This window comes from Homo sapiens, chromosome 12, assembly GCF_000001405.40.
Source record: "Homo sapiens chromosome 12, GRCh38.p14 Primary Assembly".
NCBI lineage: Eukaryota > Metazoa > Chordata > Mammalia > Primates > Hominidae > Homo > Homo sapiens.
In genome coordinates, this window is record NC_000012.12 from 43,910,347 (window position 1) to 43,932,532 (window position 22,186).

Genomic DNA, 22,186 nt, shown 5'->3' on the forward strand with positions numbered 1-22,186 from the left:
AAATAATAAGAGCTATCTATGACAAACCCACAGCCAATATCATACTGAATGGGCAAAAACTGGAAGCATTCCCTTTGAAAACTGGCACAAGACAGGGATGCCCTCTCTCACCACTCCTATTCAACATAGTGTTGGAAGTTCTGGCCAGGGCAATTAGGCAGGAGAAGGAAATAAAGGGTATTCAATTAGGAAAAGAGGAAGTCAAATTGTCCCTGTTTGCAGACGACATGATTGTGTATCTAGAAAACCCCGTTGTCTCAGCCCAAAATCTCCTTCAGCTGATAAGCAACTTCAGCAAAGTCTCAGGATACAAAATCAATGTACAAAAATCACAAGCATTCTTATACACCAACAACAGACAAACAGAGAGCCAAATCATGAGTGAACTCCCATTCACAATTGCTTCAAAGAGAATAAAATACCTAGGAATCCAACTTACAAGGGATGTGAAGGACCTCTTCAAGGAGAACTACAAACCACTGCTCAAGGAAATAAAAGAGGATACAAACAAATGGAAGAACATTCCATGCTCATGGGTAGGAAGAATCAATATTGTGAAAATGGCCATACTGCCCAAGGTAATTTACAGATTCAATGCCATCCCCATCAAGCTATCAATGACTTTCTTCACAGAATTGGAAAAAACTACTTTAAAGTTCATATGGAACCAAAAAAGAGCCCGCATCGCCAAGTCAATCCTAAGCCAAAAGAACAAAGCTGGAGGCATCACACTACCTGACTTCAAACTATACTACAAGGCTACAGTAACCAAAACAGTATGGTACTGGTACCAAAACAGAGATATAGATCAATGGAACAGAACAGAGCCCTCAGAAATAACGCCGCATATCTACAACTATCTGATCTTTGACAAACCTGACAAAAACAAGCAATGGGGAAAGGATTCCCTATTTAATAAATGGTGCTGGGAAAACTGGCTAGCCATATGTAGAAAGCTGAAACTGGATCCCTTTCTTACACCTTATACAAAAATCAATTCAAGATGGATTAAAGACTTAAACATTAGACCTAAAACCATAAAAACCCTAGAAGAAAACCTAGGCATTACCATTCAGGACATAGGCATGGGCAAGGACTTCATGTCTAAAACACCAAAAGCAATGGCAACAAAAGCCAAAATTGACAAATGGGATCTAATTAAACTAAAGAGCTTCTGCACAGCAAAAGAAACTACCATCAGAGTGAACAGGCAACCTACAGAATGGGAGAAAATTTTTGCAAGCTACTCATCTGACAAAGGGCTAATATCCAGAATCTACAATGAACTCAAACAAATTTACAAGAAAAAAACAAACAACCCCATCAAAAAGTGGGCAAAGGACATGAACAGACACTTCTCAAAAGAAGACATTTATGCAGCCAAAAAACACATGAAAAAATGCTCACCATCACTGGCCATCAGAGAAATTCAAATCAAAACCACAGTGAGATACCATTTCACACCAGTTAGAATGGCAATCATTAAAAAGTCAGGAAAGAACAGGTGCTGGAGAGGCTGTGGAGAAATAGGAACACTTTTACACTGTTGGTGGGACTGTAAACTAGTTCAACCATTGTGGAAGTCAGTGTGGCGATTCCTCAGGGATCTAGAACTAGAAATACCATTTGACCCAGCCATCCCATTACTGGGTACATACCCAAAGGACTATAAATCATGCTGCTATAAAGACACATGCACACGTATGTTTATTGTGGCACTATTCACAATAGCAAAGACTTGGAACCAACCCAAATATCCAACAACGATAGACTGGATTAAGAAAATGTGGCACATATACACCATGGAATACTATGCAGCCATAAAAAAGGATGAGTTCATGTCCTTTGTAGGGACATGGATGAAATTGGAAATCATCAGTCTCACTAAACTATCGCAAAAACAAAAAACCAAACACTGCATATTCTCACTCATAGGTGGGAATTGAACAATGAGAACACATGGACACAGGAAGGGGAACATCACGCTCTGGGGACTGTTGTGGGGTGGGGGAAGGGGACAGGGATAGCATTGGGAGATATACCTAATGCTAGATGACGAGTTAGTGGGTGCAGTGCACCAGCATGGCACATGTATACGTATGTAACTAACCTGCGCGTTGTGCACATGTACCCTAAAACTTAAAGTATAATAATAATAATTTATATATATATATATATATATATATATATGGCAGAATGAAAGCTCCATGTGGGCAGGGATTTTTATCTGTTTTGTTAACTCCTATATCCTTGGCACTTTTAAGAGTGCCTGGTACATATTACACACTCAGTAAATATGTGTTTAATGAATGAAAATAATGGAAATATGTCTTTTTTTTCACCTTGGTTAATATTATCCTTAAAGTACTGATGTTTTTATTGGTGCTTTTCCATGTGATTTTCAATTAATATATGTGTAGCCTTTAATGCATGTACCCCAAGAAAATTAGTCTAATTTATAGTTATATTCATTTTATCCAAAAATAAACTACACAGTTTAGGCATCTTCCTGTTGTATCTGTCTGCCATGTTTTTGCATGACTTTAAAAATTGGAGTCCTCCAAGAAAGGCTTGTCATTATTGAGATTATTCATAAAAGCTATCCTAGGCTTTGAAACATTCCAAAGGAAAAGTTCAAAAAAATATTTTGAGCATCTGGAACTGTTTTGAGAAGTGGAATACTTTATAAGCCTCAAGGCAGTCATTCTTAACTTCATTAGGGCTACCAATCCTTTTGAGAATTTGATATCTGTTGAACATATGGCCCTGTCAAATGCACATACCAACATTTAAACACGCTACATTTATTTAAGGGATTTGTAGGCTTCTGGAAGCTCATTCATGAACTGTCTATGGGTCCTTGGACTCCAGGTAGGAAGCCTGGCTTTAAAGGCATACCTATCAAGCTCTAAATCCTTGAATATAGCTGCTGCATCTGCTTCATTCTTCACCACAGGAAAGTGCCTCATATTTAATAAACATTGCTTGAAACAATGTCTAGTAACAAAAAAGTCATATTGTTTTATAATCATATTTTGAACTTCTTACTGTATATATATTCATATAGATTAATAAAGTTTGTATTAAGTATCTGTCCCATCATGTTATGGGATAAAAGATCCCATTTACCTGAAGGAAAGGGAACTAACAGAGAGGGACTATTTTTGCCTGATAGAGGGCTGGGGCTATCTGAGTGACATCCCAGAGAAACTGGGGACAGAGAGAGGAGAAGCAGACCATGTCCAACTGGCATTCTATTTAAATCTAACATCCAGGTGTTCTCTGAGTTTATGAGTCGTTCCTGTTTTTGCCACTGTGTGACAGTTGCTTTTACAGTATGCATTATATTGTCTCTAGAAAATCAATACAAACTGGATTTATGCAAGGCACAGAATCACACAACATGCTTTAATAAAAGAATAAAGGAGAATTTTGGCATATTTTAATTATTCATTTTGTTCACTTTCATCATGGCAGAATATAAGATATGTTTTATTTTTAAATTTATGTTTACAGAGAATAGAAGTATTACACGTGACCAAATATTAACTATATCATGTCAAGTAGGACAAAAGTTCTCATGGGCTTTTCCGTTTATATTGATGTATTTTAATTGACTTAGTTCTGTTAATGTTTTTGGGATACCAGGTATAAATGCCCAGATGTGAAAGATAGAAATGCTTTATCCTTTCCATATTTCCTCTGGTGCATCTGAGGGCAGACAAAGTATCACAGGAGAAGTCTTTGGCTAAATTCAATCAATTAAATGGAAACCGTGATGCTATAACCCCATGTATACCAATGCATGGGAGAGTCGGGGGACATGCAGCAGCTTCGGGAGGGGATGTGCTTGAAGGCTTGGTACTAGGAATATTCATCTATGGGGAAAACCTTGAGTTACTAAACTTTCTCTGATACTGCTTTGGTTTTGCTTCTCTTCCCTCTATTACTGCTTTCTTCCTTTCTCAGACCTGCAGGTCTGCTAAGAAACTTAGCTCTAATGAACCCGCTCCTCAGTCTTCCCCTAGATTGTGATCACATTTTGTTCTTCTTTATCCCTGCACTAAGTCTGATCTGGCAATTGAATGAACTAATTCATTTCACAAATATTCGTGGTGCCCCTTCTATGTGCCAAACACTGTGCCGGGAATTCAGTGGAGAACAAGACAGACACAGGCCCTGCCAATGGAGCTTTCAGCCTCCAGTTAAATGCATGATAGAGAGGATGGGAGAGAAAGACAGTGGGGAACAATGGGTTACTTTTACTGTCCCTGACTGATACGTCTGCATATAAAAGAACAGTCAGATTGGTGAGATTTCATGGTAGCCGTGCCTGCTCTTTATTCTCCTGTCTTTCTTTCATTCATGAAATAAATCAAATTTTGGATTGAGGAGCTGACCAAAAAGCATTTGGGTATGTGGAAACTTTGAGATCAAAGGGAGAGGAAGCTGAAACCTTCAGAGGGTAGAGATTGATGGTATTTGATTTTGTTCATAGTGTAGTATTTATTAATAGTTCTGTAATATTTGGTGGTATAAGTTCTGGTACCCCCTCCTTCAGCAAATTTATATTAAAACTCACTGTACATCTGCATATCAGAAAGCCTAGTATCTTCTTGGGATTTTCTTCTCATCTTGATTTACCCAAGAACCCCTGAAGCTTATACTGTGAGAGGAAAATCTGGCTGCTTTCTTTCCTCATGGGAAAGCACTGATGTTTAAACAGTGTTACTGCGATTTCTTCTTTGCTTCCACATGGTTTCAGTATTGAGTGTTAGTTCTTTCCAGGCATACAGACATCCAGGTTCTCAAAGTCTAGGTCTTACCTATACCCCTTGGAGGGAGGCTTGGCCACCCCTCAGTGACATTTACCAAAGGCGCTCCACACTTTAGACTTCTCCTTCAGTTAATATTCCCATCATGAGTCATTACCTCTTAGGATCCAAGCATTGTGCCAGGTGGCTGGAAACAGAGGGGCAGACCGAAGTTAACCCTCCTCTGTGGATCTTGGGCTTCCTGTCTTGAGTCTGGTTCATCAGTCATAGTTCTTCTTGCCTCAAGGTTATTTTGTTTCTAGAGCTTCATTACCCTTTCTTACCACCTGACCTTGTCCAGTCCACACCCATAACTTTCCTTAATTTCAAATATCAGTGCTTCTTATACAAACTGATCTTCATCCCCTTCAGTGACCAACTTTGCATAGCTAAGTACTCTTGCTTGGTCACAGAAGGGTTTATTGCACTTAGTCCCAGGCCAGTGACTATCTGCTGGCTCTAGAATTGTCTAATTTAAAGGCCTGCTCAGGCGAGACCTAGGAGAATAGAGAAGGCTTGTTTCTATTATTAAAAAGAAAGAGGAAGAAAAAGAAAGGAGGGGAAGAAGGAAAGAAGGAGTGAAGAAAGAAAAAGAAAGAAAGAAAGAGGAAAAAAAAATCCAGTGGTGTTTACTGAGTGTAGTGTTTTCAAACTAGAGGAGGCAAGGGTAAGGGAACACTTTTTTTATTTTTATTTTTAATATGGGAGGCTATGACCACATTTCACTGCCACTGTTGCAGGTATTACAGCTTCAGCACCCCCCTCAACCTCACCTCCCATCCCCACTCTAACAACTCTCTTGTCTGATCTAGCAAAAGGACTGCTGTGGCCATTATGGTAAATAGTGGCAGGGAGAGGGTGATGGTTGGGCAAGAAAAAAGTGGGGGATAAATTCATAGTCACTACTAACTTATTCTTCTTTTTCCAGCCACATTTTGAGCCACCTTCAAATCCACCAGAAGAGGGGAGGCATGGAGGGAGAATGTTAGAAGGGGAAATGGAATGGAGAGAGGGGAGGGATTCCCTGTTCCACCTCTTTGTTCTTCATTGCCTAATATTTTTCAGTGACTTAATGCCAGCCATGGTAACCTCTTTATTTTCTTCAAAATGTTGTTTAAATTATTAAACTAAAACAAGAACGTTGTGTAGAATTTAGAAAATGTAGCAAAGTTCAAAGAAGAAAAAATTCTCTAGTAATCTGTCATCTAGAGAACACCACCATTAACATTTTGGCAGTTTTCTTATGGATATATGTTTATAAAACATGAATTTATTCTGTGTATTCAATATTTATAATGATTCTACCCCATCTAGATTATTAAATATCATGTATAAGCACATCTTAATGGTTGCATGATTTTATTACTTTATTGTACCACCATATTTAGTTGAACATTTAGGATGTTCACAGGATGCTGCCTTTATTTTACTACTTATATCACTCTGATGTGAACGTCTTAGTCCATAGATCTTTGAACATTGTCAGAAGGAGAAACACAATGAAGAGTTGTTACATTACTGTTGCTGGAGTATGAAACTGATGAGTCCTGATGGTGTTCTCTCTTCAGTTACTGGGACTAAAAAATTAAATGGCATCTCAAAGTTTTCCTACTTCATCCTAGGAATTGAAAGGGCTAAACATAAGCCAGGTAGATATATCTGATTTCTTGTTGGCGTGAAGTAGATCTAGGCTTCTTTTCTGATGTTAACAATCTCACTGTTAGAGCCTAGACTCCCCTCTCTACTCCTCCCAGTGGTCCATCCTTCTCCCCTGCTACAGTCAGATCCATGTTAAGGTTGCAGCCTCCTAGAGCATAATCAGATTACCTGAAGCCATTAGTTACCTTAACCATTTATTTACGGCCTCCCTATGCCCAGTTTTAGATGTGATGAGTTACATGCAGAGATCAAATCTGATTTATTGATATAGTGATACAATAATAGTACTATGGCTGGGCAGAGTGGCTCATGCCTATAATTCCAACACTTTTGGAGGCCATGGTGGGAAGATTGCTTGAGGCCAGGAGTTTAAGACCAGCCTGGGCAAGATAGTGAGAGCCTCATCTCTACAAAAAAAAAAAAAAAAAAAAAAAGGCGTGCTGTGGTGGCACGAGCCTGTAGTCCTAGCTATTCAAGAGGCCAAAGCAGGAGGATCGCTTGAGCTCAGTAGTTTGAGGCTGCAAGATCTTGTCTCTAAAAACAAAGAAAGAATGCTAACTCACCTTGAGTGCATGCCCTGTGTCAGGGCACTTTAGTAAGTGGTTTATGTAATTCACAATGTAATCTTCACAGCAATCTTATGAAGTGGTTACTATTATTACCCTCATTTTACATATAACCAGAAGCAGGGAGAAGTTATGTAACTGTCACCCCAGTGGGCAGTGGCAAAACCAGGAATTAAGCCTCAGCCATCTGTCTCCCAAGCCCTCACCTTTACCCATTATGCATATCATAAACATAAACATTTTTAGCTTTTAGTAACATTTATTTTTAAAAGATCTTGGGCTGCAATATTGGGGTTCATAATTCTTACCTGAATTTTCAAACCAATTCTTTTATATGTGTCTAATTTTAGGATTCTTTTAAAGATTTTTATCAAGCAAAAGGCAAACATTTTTATGAGGATTTATAAACTCATAGAAGGTGGGAGCTGGAGTGAGTGACCTTACAATCCCCTTGTCCTGTCACCCTCTTGCACAGACTTGGGTTATACTTTTTTAGACATTGGCCAGTTGAGGTTGATTTAGGTTTCTATAGAAGGACTTGATCTCTATTCCAGTCACTTGGTCTATGGCATTGAGTCATCTTTACTAGTTTGTTAGACTGATTTCCTAGGGCTATTATCTGGTAGATAGGGAAATCCTTCAGTTTCTATTTCTGCTCCACGAGAACACTCTTATCATCAAGGACATAGCCTGAGATGGAACATAACTGTCAGACACACACATTATTTGACAAAAATATAGCCTACAGGGTGCTGCAGACTGCCTGCAGAGTGCTGTGATTATAACTGTTACAAGGGGGACGTCATTCTGTCATTGCCTGGAACAGTTCTTTTTTTCTTTTCTTAATATAATTACTGACAGTACACTTTTTGTATATGCAGGCTCCATCTGGTCTAGTCTGATTAAAGTTGATGGCTATTTTTATGTCATCAGCAATCATAATTTTTTGTTTCATTTTTAGAACATCTCTTGCAGGGGTTTTGAATACTTTTTTTGACTTGTCTTTTTTAACTTGTCACCCAGTTCTTGCCAAGGTTAACAGCAAAGTTTACAAAGGTTAACAACCAGTCTCACCTGAGAATCACCGCCTAAGCAAAAGGTTATTTCACCATGCTAATTCTTTTGGATAGCTTTGTCTAGCTGCTTAGTTAATTAACCAATTAGAAGCTACTTCTGATATTATTTTTCAAGATACATGCTTGCTTGTCTGTAGGCCTTTTCTTTGAATTTATTTTCCTTTTTTAAAAAACATTAATTTGATGCTTCCTTCGTACAGACGCTTCCAGTGGGTCTTGTTAGCCCTTAGCTCTATGCCTGCCTCTTGAACACTGGGAATTATCCTGCATGCTACTGAGTTCCACAGCTGTCTGCCTTACCAACACTCAAAAGCATTTTAATATTCTCACCATGCCTCTGAAAATACTTTCTTCAGTCTCAATTGACCATCACATACCAAATCCACTTTTCTGTCTTAATTCTCTAATCTCTGTACAATTTGATACTGTAACTGCACTTGAAGTTTTCTCATTTGATTTCCATAATGAAAATTATCTACTATATACTCTGCTTTTTTGGTCTCCTTTATCGGCTCTTCTTTAATTTCCAGTTTCCTGCAAGTATTAAGTGAGCCACATAAGAGAGCTGCTTCCCTAGTTCAAAAACTTCGGTGTTGTATCTCCAGCCCTGCATTCTTTCTTCTCCTTTTCTCCTCATTGCATGCATCCACTCTCTTTTTAAAAATTTTATTTTATTATGGTAATAACACTGGACATGAAGTATACCCTCTTTAACAAATTTGTAAGTGTACAATACGTTATTGTTGACTCTAGGTATAGCGTTGTACAGCAGATGTCTAGGGCTGATTCATAGTTGTTTAACTGGAACTTTATGCCCGTTGATTAGTATTTCTCTATTTCCCCGTCCAGAACCAGACAACCACCCTTGTACTCTCTGTTCTGTGCATTTGACTGTTGTAGATACTTCATATAAGTGGAATCATGCTGTCTTTGTCCTGTGACTGGCTTGTTTCACCTGGCATAATGTCCTGAAGGTTCATCCATGCTGTCTCATATGGCAGGACTTCCTTCTTTATTAAGGCTGAATACTATATCATTGTGTGTATATATTCCACATTTTCTTTATCAATTTATCGTATCAATTTCTCTGTCTATGGACATTTAGCTTGTTTATATAGCTTGGCTGTTGAAACTGCAGTGAACATGGGGATGCAGATATCACTTTGAGATCCTGATTTCAGTTCTTTTGGATAAATATCCAGAAATTCAATAGCTAGGTCATATGGTATCTATTTTTAATTTTTTGAGAAACCTCCACACTGACACAGTGGCAGCACCATTTTTTATTCTCATCAGTAGTGTGTAAGGATTCCAGTTTCTCCACATCCTTTCCAACACTTTTTGTTGTTGTTGTTAATTGCCATTCTGACAAGTGTGAGGTGATATCTCATTGTGGTTTTGATTTTCATGTTCTTTCTTTTGGTGACTTTATTCTCAAGAATTGACTGATCAGCTCTAAATTGATGCAATTCGTATTTATATCTCTAGGTCCAGCATCACTCATGATATTTTCATCTCTCTTTAGGACCTCTTCATTCTGTTACTTTAATGGAAATCCAGATTCAATCTTCTCCCTGTGGCACAACCCATGTCAATAGTTAATCTCTGCAACCTCTCCTTTTTTACTGGCTTTACCATTTCCCCAGTTTCCTGAGTTTGAAACACTGAAGTTGCTCTCTGACCTCTCTCTCCTTACACTCAACAGGATAACAGCTACCAAATTTTATAGATTTTATCTCTAAAACGTCTTTGCACTCCTCTCTTTAAAAATTACTTTTTGTTGGTCAGGCATGGTGGCTCACGCCTATAATCCCAGCACTTTGGGATGCCGAGGCGGGCGGATCACGAGGTCAGAAGATCAAGACCACGGTGAAACCCTGTCTCTACTAAAAATACAAAAAATTAGCCGGGCGTGGTGGCAGGCACCTGTAGTCCAAGCTACTCTGGAGGCTGAGGCAGGAGAATCACTTGAACCCGGGAGGCGGAGGTTGCAGTGAGCCGAGATCACACCACTACACTCCAGCCTGGGTGACAGACTGAGACTCAAAAAAATGACTTTTTGTCATACCAGTTCAAACCTAGAGGGCCTTTTTTTTTTTTTTTTTTTTTGACAGGATCTCACTATTTTGCCCAGGCTGGAGTGGAGTGGCATGATCACAACTCACTGCAGCCTCAAACTCCTGGGGCTCAAGGAGTGATCCCTCTGCCTCAGCCTCCTGAGTAGCTGGCACCATAGGTGCACCACCACACCTGGCTCTAAATTGCTTTTTACTGTACTATTTCAGTAGCATTTTAAAATCCATCCTTTAAAATGTGGATTACTTCCTGTAAAGGATAATTCAGAGAGTATCTCTTCTCTGCTTGACAATCTAGTTATTTGTTATGCTCAAAATTAAGTATAATATCTTAGCCAGATATTTGAAGTCTGTCACCCTCCTGTGGTTCCCTCCCTGTATCTTACACTTCAGTCACACTCCTGCTTTTTGTTAGTCCTTGATCTGCATTGTGCTTTCCACTTCTACGCTTTTACTTATCATTTATATCTGGAGTAGCTTGTTCCCGTTCTTATAAACTTGTCTACCCTTCTGTGTTTCCTAATGTGGCCCTATTGATGCTCTTAAAATAATGTGATCTTTTCTTATCTGAGCCCATGGCATTTTCTCATTTTTCTTTGGTACTTTTCTTACTAAGCTTTGCATTATTTGTTGGTTTGTCTCTATCTGTCTTATCTATCTACCCACCCGTCTCTAGCCTAGAAGCTTCAAAAATGTAGAAAAATATTTTTCTTTCTGATTATTTTTCCCCAGAACATGCATATACTCAAACAGAGAGTCAATTAATATTTGGTGGATGAAGGAAAGTGTTTTGCTTGTTTTCCAGTGTTCAGTTTCCTTTACATTTTTTTAGTTAGTATCTGGTAGAGAGAGAATAAGATTTGGAGTCTGATAGATCTAGATTTAAATCCTAGATATCCCACTTGCTAGCTGTATGACCTTAGAGAAATCAAGTAATCTCTCTGAGCTTCTACTCTCTCATCTACAAAATGGGAGCAATTATACTTAGTTGCTTATTTTGAGATTTGAAGTATTATGTGAAAGACCTTTGCAAAGAAGAGCTCAGTAAGTTTTATTGGTTCTACCTTCTCTTTCTTCCTTCTGATTTTCTCTATTCTCATATATTAAATTTGTTATACAACTCCACTGTTAATCACATTTTGTTTTAATGCTATTTACCTTTTCGTTTCTATGTATCTCATCTTCTCAACTAAATATCAAGTTTCCTGAGGGAAGGAAAAGTTTTTATGTTCACAGCTGCAGTTAAGGTTAGGTTCTGCATAGAGAGTCACTCAATGAATATTCATTGAATAAATGCATTCCCCCATTTGCTCAGCTGACATTCTTTCCATTCCACTGACTCCATGTTGGTGACTTCTCCATTGCTACTTCTGTTTGGCAGCTTTCTAATTATTACCAGGTGTCCCAAATGTCCACTGTCAACCTCTAAAAGTGGACTTTCTTCCTGAACTCTACCATAAAAGTCCTAAAGCTTCTTTCTCCAAATTAAACCTCCATGTAAATTGCCCACCTTAGGGTGCCTTCTTGTCAGTAGAACCAGCAAAAAAGCACAATAAGGACTCCTTGGATTTAACTAGTGAGTCAGATATGTCTTACAAACTGTGGTTTCTCTTAACACTTGTGTGGTCTCTCTTTCTGTCTCTGCTTCTCTCTGTCTCTGTCTCTCTCTCTCTTTCTTGGTATTAGAAGGCAATACGCGTGCAGTGGGTTCTCTAAATAGAAAGGGATATAACATTAGAAATTGGAGCAGTAATTGAATTGTAATTATTTCTAGGTTTTTAAAAATTGAATTTAAGGATACATTAAGAAATAAACCATCCCTGGTGACTTAGTGAAAGAAAGGAGAATGTTATATGAAATTAACATATAGGTAAATGTAGCCCTTATTTGTGCTTTTGGTTTAATTATATGGAATAATGTAAATATTTATGTGCTTTTGTAAGGCAAAAGCATTACAATAGAGTGACACATTTGGTAAATTTGGATTTTATGTTAGCATGACTTAGCCTCATTAGGGCGTTCCGTTTGGCTTCTCAGGTCTGTTGATGGCTAAAATCACCTTTGCTTTGAGGTTTGGTTAAACATGTTATAGTTTGCTAACTTTACACTTGATTAAGTTATTTGAATCTCTTCATTGTAACTTCACACAACATAGGTAGTTTGCAAGAGAATGAAAGTTGGAACTCATGAAAATGCTGGTTAGTGTCTGGGGTGGTTGTCTTTGATCATTTTGTAGACTATTTGTTTCTTCTCACCACTGATGTTTTTAAGTCCCTTAGGAGGCCCAAGAAGAAGTACCCCTTTTCTCAGCCTATGTTTTAAATATAGAAAGAAATAAGACAGAAATAAAGCCTGTGGTTACCAAAATATCACCTTTATTCCTAAAAGACTGTATACTGGAGAATCTGCAGGCATGGGACTTCCCAATACTAAACTCCAAAATTAAATAGATTTCCCTAGTCCCTGACAATACTAGGTTGGACACACCTCTGCTGGAGGAGCAGAGCAGAATTTGGAGTGCTGCCAGGAGAGATTTGGTCTCTAGAGAAAAGATGTTGACTTATATATGCCAAATTTATTCTTTCAAAATGGTCTATCAGATATGTTGCTTCTCCCCTGGAAGTGGAGAGTGGGCCGTTCTTTATCTGGAAGGAAACACCTAGGACTAGGGAATAGACATTCCACATAATAGGGCCAATCCTCTTGTGTAATCTAGTTGGTAGAAAAAATGAGGTGGCCCATTATAGTGGATTTATCCCAACATATTTGTTAAAAGGAACAGTCAAGATTTCAAGTAATGCTTTGCATTTAATAGCTACCTAAAAATGATTTTTCATTTGTTAGATGTACAGACCAGGGTGGCATCTGGTCACACATTTTTCAGTTTCACAAATGTGACAATACTCCTATAACAGGTATCCCTGTTTTATCTTATGTGTTAATGATGAACCACAGTAGAATATAGTGTGTTACAATGAGTCAGTATTTTTCATCACAAACTCATCACGTTATTACTTCTTCCAGGCACTAATGGATAACTATTTCTAAGACTGTACAAGAGGCTAATTCAAATGATATTATATTTGGAAAGACTTTCCTACTAATCTCTCTGAAGTTGGAGGTTTGCATATTTGGTTAAGTAAAAATATATAAGATAATTTTCTGTCATAATTTCAAGTTAGTGTACAATAAAAATTATCAATTTCTTTTTACAGAGTCATGTAAAACCATTGAGTACAGACGATGCTGGAAATGGAAAGTATTGAGTAATATACTAATATTCTAACCACAGATTTTTCATGTCCTTATATGTAGAAAAATAAATGTCAGTAATAGTCAGCAGTGTTTAATTCATAGATTTATTTGTGAAGTTCAGGAAGGAAACACAATTTATACTATATAGATATTAAATATTGTTATGACCATCAAGTGTTAGAATAGTGGCTAAGTAAATTACTCTTTAATAAAACACAGAGCCTAGAACACAGCACTATATAAATGCCTGTTAAATAGGAACCAAATAAAATAATGAATTCTGTAGGAGTGGGATTTCAAACAAAAAATGGCACTGTGAATCTTAATGGGTTTTATATACTAATCTCTTTTCTGTAAATACAGTTTCTTGGCTCTCCAGAGTGTGGTGTGGCTCCTTGTCTATTCTTTCTATAACTGAGACAAGTTACAAATCTCAGTAGATTAAAACTTGGGAGGAATATTGCCTGAATTCTTAAAGATGAAAGAACCCTAAGCATTTAAATTATAGTGCTTTATTATTCATTGTTTGCGTAGACACTGGTCATATAAAATAACTCCTTTGTCTATTATTTTATTGTCAATATAGACATCAACATTCTGACTGAAAGGATATAAAATATGGTAAGAAAATATGATACATTATGTGAATTACAGTAGAGATAAAAAATGCCATTACTGACATTTACTACATAAAAGTTGCCCTTTGAAATTATTTAATTATTTCAAGTATTTCGTGCTGTGAAGGTTATTTTCACAAATGTTCTTTTGCTCTGTCTTAATAAAATGTCAAACATTTTAATAATGTAAAATACATATTTACCCTATGAATATTGTACTTTATTTCTAGTTTGTGATCTCACATCTCTCCTCATAAAAATTGCATTATCATATTACATTTTTAGCATGTTATTTCCATGCTTCAAGTTCTCAAGTGGCTCTTATTCATTTTCAGAATAATTATAGAGCACAAAGTTATTTATTGCTGTGTAACAAACACATCCAAAACTCAGTGGCTTAAAACAAGAATAAACATTTGTTTTCTCATAGTTTCTGTGCGTGAGGAGTTTGGGAGCAGGTTGGCTGGTTCTGGCTTGGGATCTCTCATGAGGTTGTTGTGACTATATCAGCCAGAGCTATAGTCATCCGAAGGCTTGACTGGAAAGTTACCTTCTAAGATGGATGGAAGATGTTCTCTCAAATGGATGGCAGGTTGGTGCTAGCTGTTTGCTGGATCCCTCAGTTCCTCAAGTGGAATTTTTCATAGGGCAACTTGATTGTCCTCGTGCCGTAATAGTTGATTTCCTCCAGAGACAGCAACTCGAGAGAGGGACCACGGTGGAAACTACGATAACTTTCACAACCTACCCTTGGAAGTTCCTCATGTCATTTCAACCATATTCTGTTGGTCACACAGGGAAGGCATAATTCAGTGTGTGTGGGGGTGTCTAGCCAGAGGTGAGACTCATTGAGGGCCATCTTGTAGGCTGGCTACCACACTTGCCAAAAAAAATTTTTTTTTTTTTGTTAAAAGTATTGAATTGGGTTAAATGGTCACATTTATTATATGTGCAACCCAATTTCACTGACTCTTTGTAACCTCCAATTTCTAATTTTATTTAAAATCTCAAACATTTATTTCTTATCTCTGAGTGTATCATATGGGCTTATAAAGTCGTCTGTCATATTCTGTTCTGTGCCCTCTATTGATGTTGACTTGCCGGAGGCTGGTGGAGGCTAGTGCTCCGCCACAGCTGCGGGCTTTAGGACTCCACCTCGTCAGTCATCCATGCCAATGGTATGGTTTCCCAGGGTTTCCACATTTATAAGCCCCCAGGCTGCTAAAATGAAGGTGAATTACGTGAAATCCTTCCTATTTAAAAACCTGTGCTTATTTCCACCCAGAAGTGGAAAAAATGTTACCTTTTCTACCTATGAATTATATATATTTATCCCCTAGTACAAGATAGTGTGCTTCTATATCTGGTGGGGCTTAGACCAGGATCCATGGGCTGAGCTTGACCCTCGTGTACCATCATGTGCTTCAGATGCAATGTTGTGTTGCCTATTTCATTTGACATTTAGTCGGAAAGTAGACTATTGAAATGATTGGAATTCTTTGCTTTCAGTTTAGCAAGCCAGTCTGGGTCCCAGCTTTAAGCTCAAACTAGCCACTTGCCATGTATGTGCAACACAGAACATATTAAACATACATATCCCCAGTGCCATTAGTAGCTGCATAAATAATGTTTGAGGTTAATCTGTATGCTAATTAAATATATGTTTAGAAAAATTCAGTATATATCTAAATTTTGGTCTTATATATCTTGAAGTTATTCGTTGCATACATCTGTCAAGGAACTTTTGTACTTTAATAGAATAATTCAATTCAAAATTGGCAGTGAAATTCTTACCTGAAATCAGTAGAAGCACCAGGGTGCTTTAGTCCTAAAACATTGGCTGGCATATCCTTTCCATTAATGGATAATTGATTTGTTCTCCCTTATATAAAGTGAAGTGCTATGCAACTGTAGATTCAACACTCTTCTCCTCTCTTCCAATCAGCTTACTGCTCCTCTTTGTAAAATCCAGTAGTTACATTGCTTAAAGTCTTCTGATAAACATTTTCATAAGCTAGGGAATATAGTCTGAGAAAAAAATAAATGTTTACATCGGAATTTCAGATTTAAATTCACATTAGTCATTCTTATAAATATCTACCCTTTTAAATTTGATTTTTTAAGTGAATTATAAAATCTTAGGGAAGAAGAGTTTATGAAATATTGGAATTAATTGTTACTTGAATGTTTGTGAAAGAACTCCTCTCTCAAACCATTTAGACATGGTGTTCTCTTTACCGAAAGGTGCTTGCACTACTGAACAGAATATTTTTTAGTAATAGAATAACTCAGGTTTCATACTTCTTTAATCATTTTGGCAAATAATATCTTTATCAAGGTATTTATCCATTTTTTATCTCTGCTATCTATGTTTGTAGTTTTTCATTTCTAATACTTTTATTACCTTATCTCTTTTTTCTTCATCAGTCTAGTAAGAGATTTGTTGGTTTTATAAAACTTTAATGTTTTTGGCTTCATTGATCCTCTATATTTTATTTTTGCCTTTGACTTAATTATTTTTTCGTATCTTTTAATATCAACTTTCTTTTGCTTTCTATGAGTTTATTACCTTGTGTTATTTTTCTTCTTAAGTTGGATATATAGCTTATAGATATTCAGCCTTTTATAATCTAAACAATTGAAGACTAAGTTTCCTATTTTCAACTATTTTTGTTGCATTCCAAAAGTTTGAAATGTAGTCTCTTGATAATGTTTCTTAATCTCCATTGGGATTTTTGTTTTATTCATGAATTATTTTGAAATGTGTTTTTAAATTCTGAAGTATGAGGTATAAAAATTATTTAACATTTTGTTACTAATTTCTAATTGATTACATTTGTTTGGAAATGTGGTCTGTGTGATATCTAATCTTTGAGCTTCACTGAGGTTTGTTTTGTCAATTTTAAAGCTTCCAATGCATGTTGGAAGAGAATATGTGTTCTCTAATTGTTGCATGCAGGGTTCAATATGAAGTCCATTAAATCAAGTTTTAATTGTAGTATTTAAATATACTATATCTTTGTTAATTTTTTTTGTTTTTGGTTTTTTTTTTGGTTTGCATGACTTATTAAATGAGAGAGGAATGCTAACATCTCACACTGATTATAGATTTTTAAATTCCTTCCTGTAGTTTATCTGATTTTGTTTTACATACAGTATTTTGAATCTATCTTATTTATATAATCTATCTCATTGATCAATTTTAAAATCATTCTATTTACCTGGAGAATTTATTATTTGTTATTATGTAATGATTCTCTTTATTCCTAACATTGTTTTTTAACTTAAAATCCATGTTGTCTGAAACTAATACATATTCTAGCTTTCTTTTTGTTAGTTTTATCTGGTATATAATTTTACAGCCTATTACTTCCAACACTTCTGCATTCTTAGTCATATCTCTTGCAAACACACATCTTTGGATTTGTTTTGCTCTCAGTTTTCTATCTTCTATCTAACAATTATTGTCTTTTAACTGGCAAGATCAATATATTGAATTTATATTAGGACTTGATTCTGCCAAGTTTTTTTGTGTTTTCTGTTAGCACAGCTTTTCCTTCTTTCTTTTTTCCCTTTTTTTTTGCACAGAGTGAATTTTGTTTATTCTTTTTCTCTTTCTATCCCTCCTTCACTCCTCTACTAGGTTTAGAAATTATGTATTAAATATCTACTATTTTAGTGGCTACCCTTGATACTTTACTATGTATATTTAAAAAGCTAGCTATTCTAAAGCTGATCAATATCTTAATCACCTGCTAAATAATAAAAGTTCTCTAGAACGTTTTAACTGTAATCAACCTCTTCTTACTTCCATGCGATTGCTGTTCAGGGTTCTAGTTCTTTTTTTGGTTCAACTCCACAAAGTAGATGTTAATATTTTTATTATTTTATATAAATAATGTTTGTCTAGATTTGATACATTACTTACTAGTTTATCACCATTTCTTTTTGCCTCAGATATGTCTTCTGAGATCACCTCTGGAATTAGGTTCATTCTCCTTGAAGTACTTTTAAATGAAGGTATATAGGAGGTATACTCTCTCAGTTTTTGCTTTTTGTTTTTTTCATTTTTAAAATCCTGTGACAAATGTCTTTTAGTGGAGTATTTAGTCCATTTGTACTTACATAACTATCAAATATTTGCATTTAAATATATCACTTTACCATGCTAGTTTTATTTATTTATTTATTTTTTATTATTATACTTTAAGTTTTAGGGTACATGTGCACAATGCGCAGGTTAGTTACATATGTATACATGTGCCATGCTGGTGCGCTGCACCCACTAACTCGTCATCTAGCATTAGGTATATCTCCCAATGCTATCCCTCCCCCCTCCCCCCACCCCACAACAGTCCCCAGAATGTGATGTTCCCCTTCCTGTGTCCATGTGTTCTCATTGTTCAATTCCCACCTATGAGTGAGAATATGCGGTGTTTGGTTTTTTGTTCTTGCGATAGTTTACTGAGAATAATGATTTCCAATTTCATCCATGTCCCTATAAAGGACATGAACTCATCATTTTTTATGGCTGCATAGTATTCCATGGTGTATATGTGCCACATTTTCTTAATCCAGTCTATCATTGTTGGACATTTGGGTTGGTTCCAAGTCTTTGCTATTGTGAATAGTGCCACAATAAACATATGTGTGCATGTGTCTTTATAGCAGCATGATTTATAGTCCTTTGGGTATATACCCAGTAATGGGATGGCTGGGTCAAATGGTATTTCTAGTTCTAGATCCCTGAGGAATGGCCACACTGATTTCCACAATGGTTGAACTAGTTTACAGTCCCACCAACAGTGTAAACCATGCTAGTTTTTTATTTACCTTCTGTCTTTAGTTCTTTACTCCTTTTTGCTTTGCTTTGGATAAATAAAATATTTTTAATATTTTATTATTACTACTATACTACCTTATTAATTACACATACTTTTATTCATTTAGTGATTACCCTAAAGAGTAAAACACACATAATTGACATTAAAGCCTACCTTTAATTAATATTGCCAACAATTTCCAAGAACCTTATAGCACTTAACTTTATTGACCCCTTCTGCCTTGTAGCTTATTTTTGTCATAAACTGAAATTCCACATCTTTAACAGCATTATTGAGGTATAATTGACATATAACAAACTTCATATACTTAAGTATACAGTTTTGTAAGTTTTTGACATATGTATATAACTGTAAAACCACCATGACAGTCAGGATAACCATGTCTGTGTGAGCTTTTGTAACCTGCTTCTCTTATCCTTCCATACATTCACACAATCACTGTTTATTTGCATTTTCTAGAAATTTATATAAATGGAATAATATATTATGTGCATATTTAACAGCTATTAAATCTATCCATTGGTTATTTCTTTGGTAAAATTCATAATCTTTTTATATATTTCTTTGAACATGCTAATTGCAGTTTTCTGACTTCTACGTTATAATGCCAATCTTTGCACCATCACTGAGTCTGCTTATGTTATCAATTTTTTCCCCTGCTTTTCAGTAATTTTTTTATGTCTTGTTTCTTTATGTGCCTAATTTAAAAAATTGAATATTAGAGATAATATCTAAAGAATTGTAGAGGTTCATGATGATACAATCTTCCCTAGAGAAAATTTTATTTTCTTCTGGTCTGTAGATACTGGGTTCAGGCTTTCTTTGGTTTGATCTGTTTCTGATTTGTCCTTACTCCTATGATATTGCCTTTCATATATCACATCCTAAAGCCTGAACTCTGCCCATAATTCTTCTACTTTGATGTTCCCTGAATTCTAATTTTTGTTTACTCAGCATCATGAGACTAAAATTTATGCTTAGTTTTTTTTGCTTATCAGCAGTTCTATGCTTGATCTTACCTCACCTACATAGTTTAGTAGGTGTCAGCAAATGATCTATGGGAAATTGTGTTAGAATTTCGGGTCATTTCCTGAGTTTCCTTATTTTTTCTGGTATTTTGTTCCCTCATGTCCTGATTGCATTTGTGGACATGAATTTCAATTTTTATCTCTGGCCCAGTGACACTGCCTCAAGCTCTAAGCCACAGTTTTCCATATGGTCCCTATGACACTGAAAATCAGCAAATCTCCCAAGGGGAAAAAGATGCAATAAATTTGGCTCATCTAAGTGCATTTTCTTTCCTTAGTGATCTTGGCCTTTCAAGTCTTGCCTGCCTTGCTTGCTTTTTGATGCCTTCAAACAGTGGCCTTCATTATGATAAATACACTTGCTAGGTACACAGCTATAGATTGATAGTTATTTCCTCTTAGCAGTTTGAGGCACTGTCTTATGACATCCGTTGTTGCTGTTGGGAAGAAATCAGTATAATTATTGTTCCTTTCAAATAATCTGCCTTTATTATTGTCTGATTTTAAGATCTTTTTTGTCTTTTAAGATAAATAAGCCCTGCAGTTACTACAGCTTACTTCCTGGAGAGTTTTTTGGCCTCATTGCAGGAAGGAGGAAATCAGGCAGAGGCCAGGGTCTTCCTGAATGGAAGAGATAGAGCTGGGTGTGTGGGGAGGCCAAAACAGCTATTTCATATGTCAGAGTACCAGAGTGAAAAAGAGAGCACAGAGGAATAACCCTAGAAATCTGAAGATGCCTCTTGACTCTTCACTGAGTAATGATCACCACAGGGATGTGAGAACCCACCCCAAGCTGGGGAAAGTATCACTCAAAAGGAACACAGGAAAAATTCTTAGAGCTCACACAGGACTAAGAATAGTTTGTGTCCCTACAAGGCAAAAACACAAAACCTTGTCATTTATTTGCCATCAGGTAGAGTAGTCAGAATGGTGGAAGTGGGGCAAAATTAACCTGAGGGCTTCTGCTGCCTAATAAAGTTTAATAGAAATATTCAGTAGCATCAAACTATTTCCAAGTAATTTAAATGCATCCAAGAACAAAACTCAAGAGTACTTATAGGCATACAAAAATATCCTGCACCCAATAAAGTGAAAATTCACAATGTCTGGCATCCAATCAAAAATTACTAGACACACAAAGATGCAGTAAAATATGACCCATAATCCAGAAGAAAAATAAGTCAAAAGAAGAGCCCGGGAATGATACTGTTGATATAGTTAGTAACAATGATATCAAAAATTATAACTATGTTCCATATGTTTCAGAGGGTAGAGAAATGCCCGTGTGTAAATTGAGACACAACAGATTTCAAATATTTTACATTTGGTAATTTCAATATTTAAAGTTCTTGTATTGTCTAAAGTTTTATTTGCTATTTCTATCAACTCTCACTCATGGTAGCACTTCTTTTTGAGTTTAGTGAATTTTTACTTTGAACTCATATTTTAATAATATAATCTATCTGAATTCTGAGGATTTAAATAAAGCTTGTTTTTCTCTAGAGAGTATTCACATTTGCCAAATTTGGAATCCAAGAGATACAATAGTTTAAGGACAACTTTACATTCTTTGAAGGGTCCTGATTTATTCTGGGAGACCCAGGCTTGGCATCTCCACCTTGCAGTGTCCTTGAGCTTACACTTTTATTTTCTCAGTGTTTTTATGGGCGTTTGGTCTGAAAGTAAGTCTAGATTTTAAGTTTGCTTACTGGTACTCTTTAAATTTTAGCTGACTCTTCTTGCCTCTAGCCCTTTTGATGTGCATGAAAATCTATGTTTGTTGTGTTTCCCGTATTTACCATCATATTTACAGTACACAGCACTGGCCAGGCTCATAGTTAGAATTAAGAATTTGCCATATGAGTTACTATCATTAATACAAAAGCCTATGGTGTTTAAAATTATATTGTTTATTTCTAGATTTTTTAAATCTTAGGAGTCTAGATAAAATAGAGAAAATGACTACCTCATATAATAATTTATATAAAATAACTTATATTTTTAATAAAAATTCTTTGGTAGTCAGATTTACTTTGCTTTGATTTCATTAAATAAGTTTTTTTTTTTTTTTTTCAGAACTGGATACTTTTTGTTTGAACACCTTTCAAATACCCTTTTTGATGGTGATCACCAAAGTGATTCCTGCATCCTGTTCTTTTGATTCTACTTTAACTTGGGCTTGGATAGTTATTGGAGAATTGTCTGAAAGATCTTTACGCTTGGCTTAAAAGAAATAATGATTGATAGATTTG

At 36.1% G+C, this 22,186-nt stretch overlaps 1 protein-coding gene across 9 annotated transcripts in view, besides 2 other annotated features; it reads left to right on the forward strand.

Moving 5' to 3' along the window:
* Positions 1–22,186, forward strand: part of TMEM117 (transmembrane protein 117) — a 603,307-nt gene that overhangs the window by 114,545 nt on the left and 466,576 nt on the right. Inside the window, exon 2 of one of the 9 annotated variants that reach the window (XM_017020022.2) lies at positions 14,493–14,654. The exons of 7 other annotated variants lie outside the window; for them this stretch is intronic. In XM_017020022.2, coding sequence (XP_016875511.1) covers positions 14,621–14,654 — 34 coding nt within the window. In that variant the 5' untranslated portion in view covers positions 14,493–14,620. Of the gene's footprint in view, positions 1–14,492; positions 14,655–22,186 lie in introns of those variants that run through there. One more of the 9 variants, XM_047429663.1, reaches the window with a different exon arrangement.
* Positions 7,607–7,807: a silencer, noted in NCBI's record as "peak1705 fragment used in MPRA reporter construct". NCBI's record gives its function as "represses an SCP1 promoter by STARR-seq MPRAs in K562 erythroleukemia cells {active_cell/tissue: K562}" and the evidence as "EXISTENCE:reporter gene assay evidence [ECO:0000049][PMID:32103011]".
* Positions 14,346–15,545: an enhancer, noted in NCBI's record as "BRD4-independent group 4 enhancer chr12:44318495-44319694 (GRCh37/hg19 assembly coordinates)". NCBI's record gives its function as "activates an origin of replication core promoter dependent on BRD2, P300/CBP, MED14 and CDK7 cofactors, and independent of BRD4, by STARR-seq in HCT116 cells {active_cell/tissue: HCT116}" and the evidence as "EXISTENCE:reporter gene assay evidence [ECO:0000049][PMID:35650434]".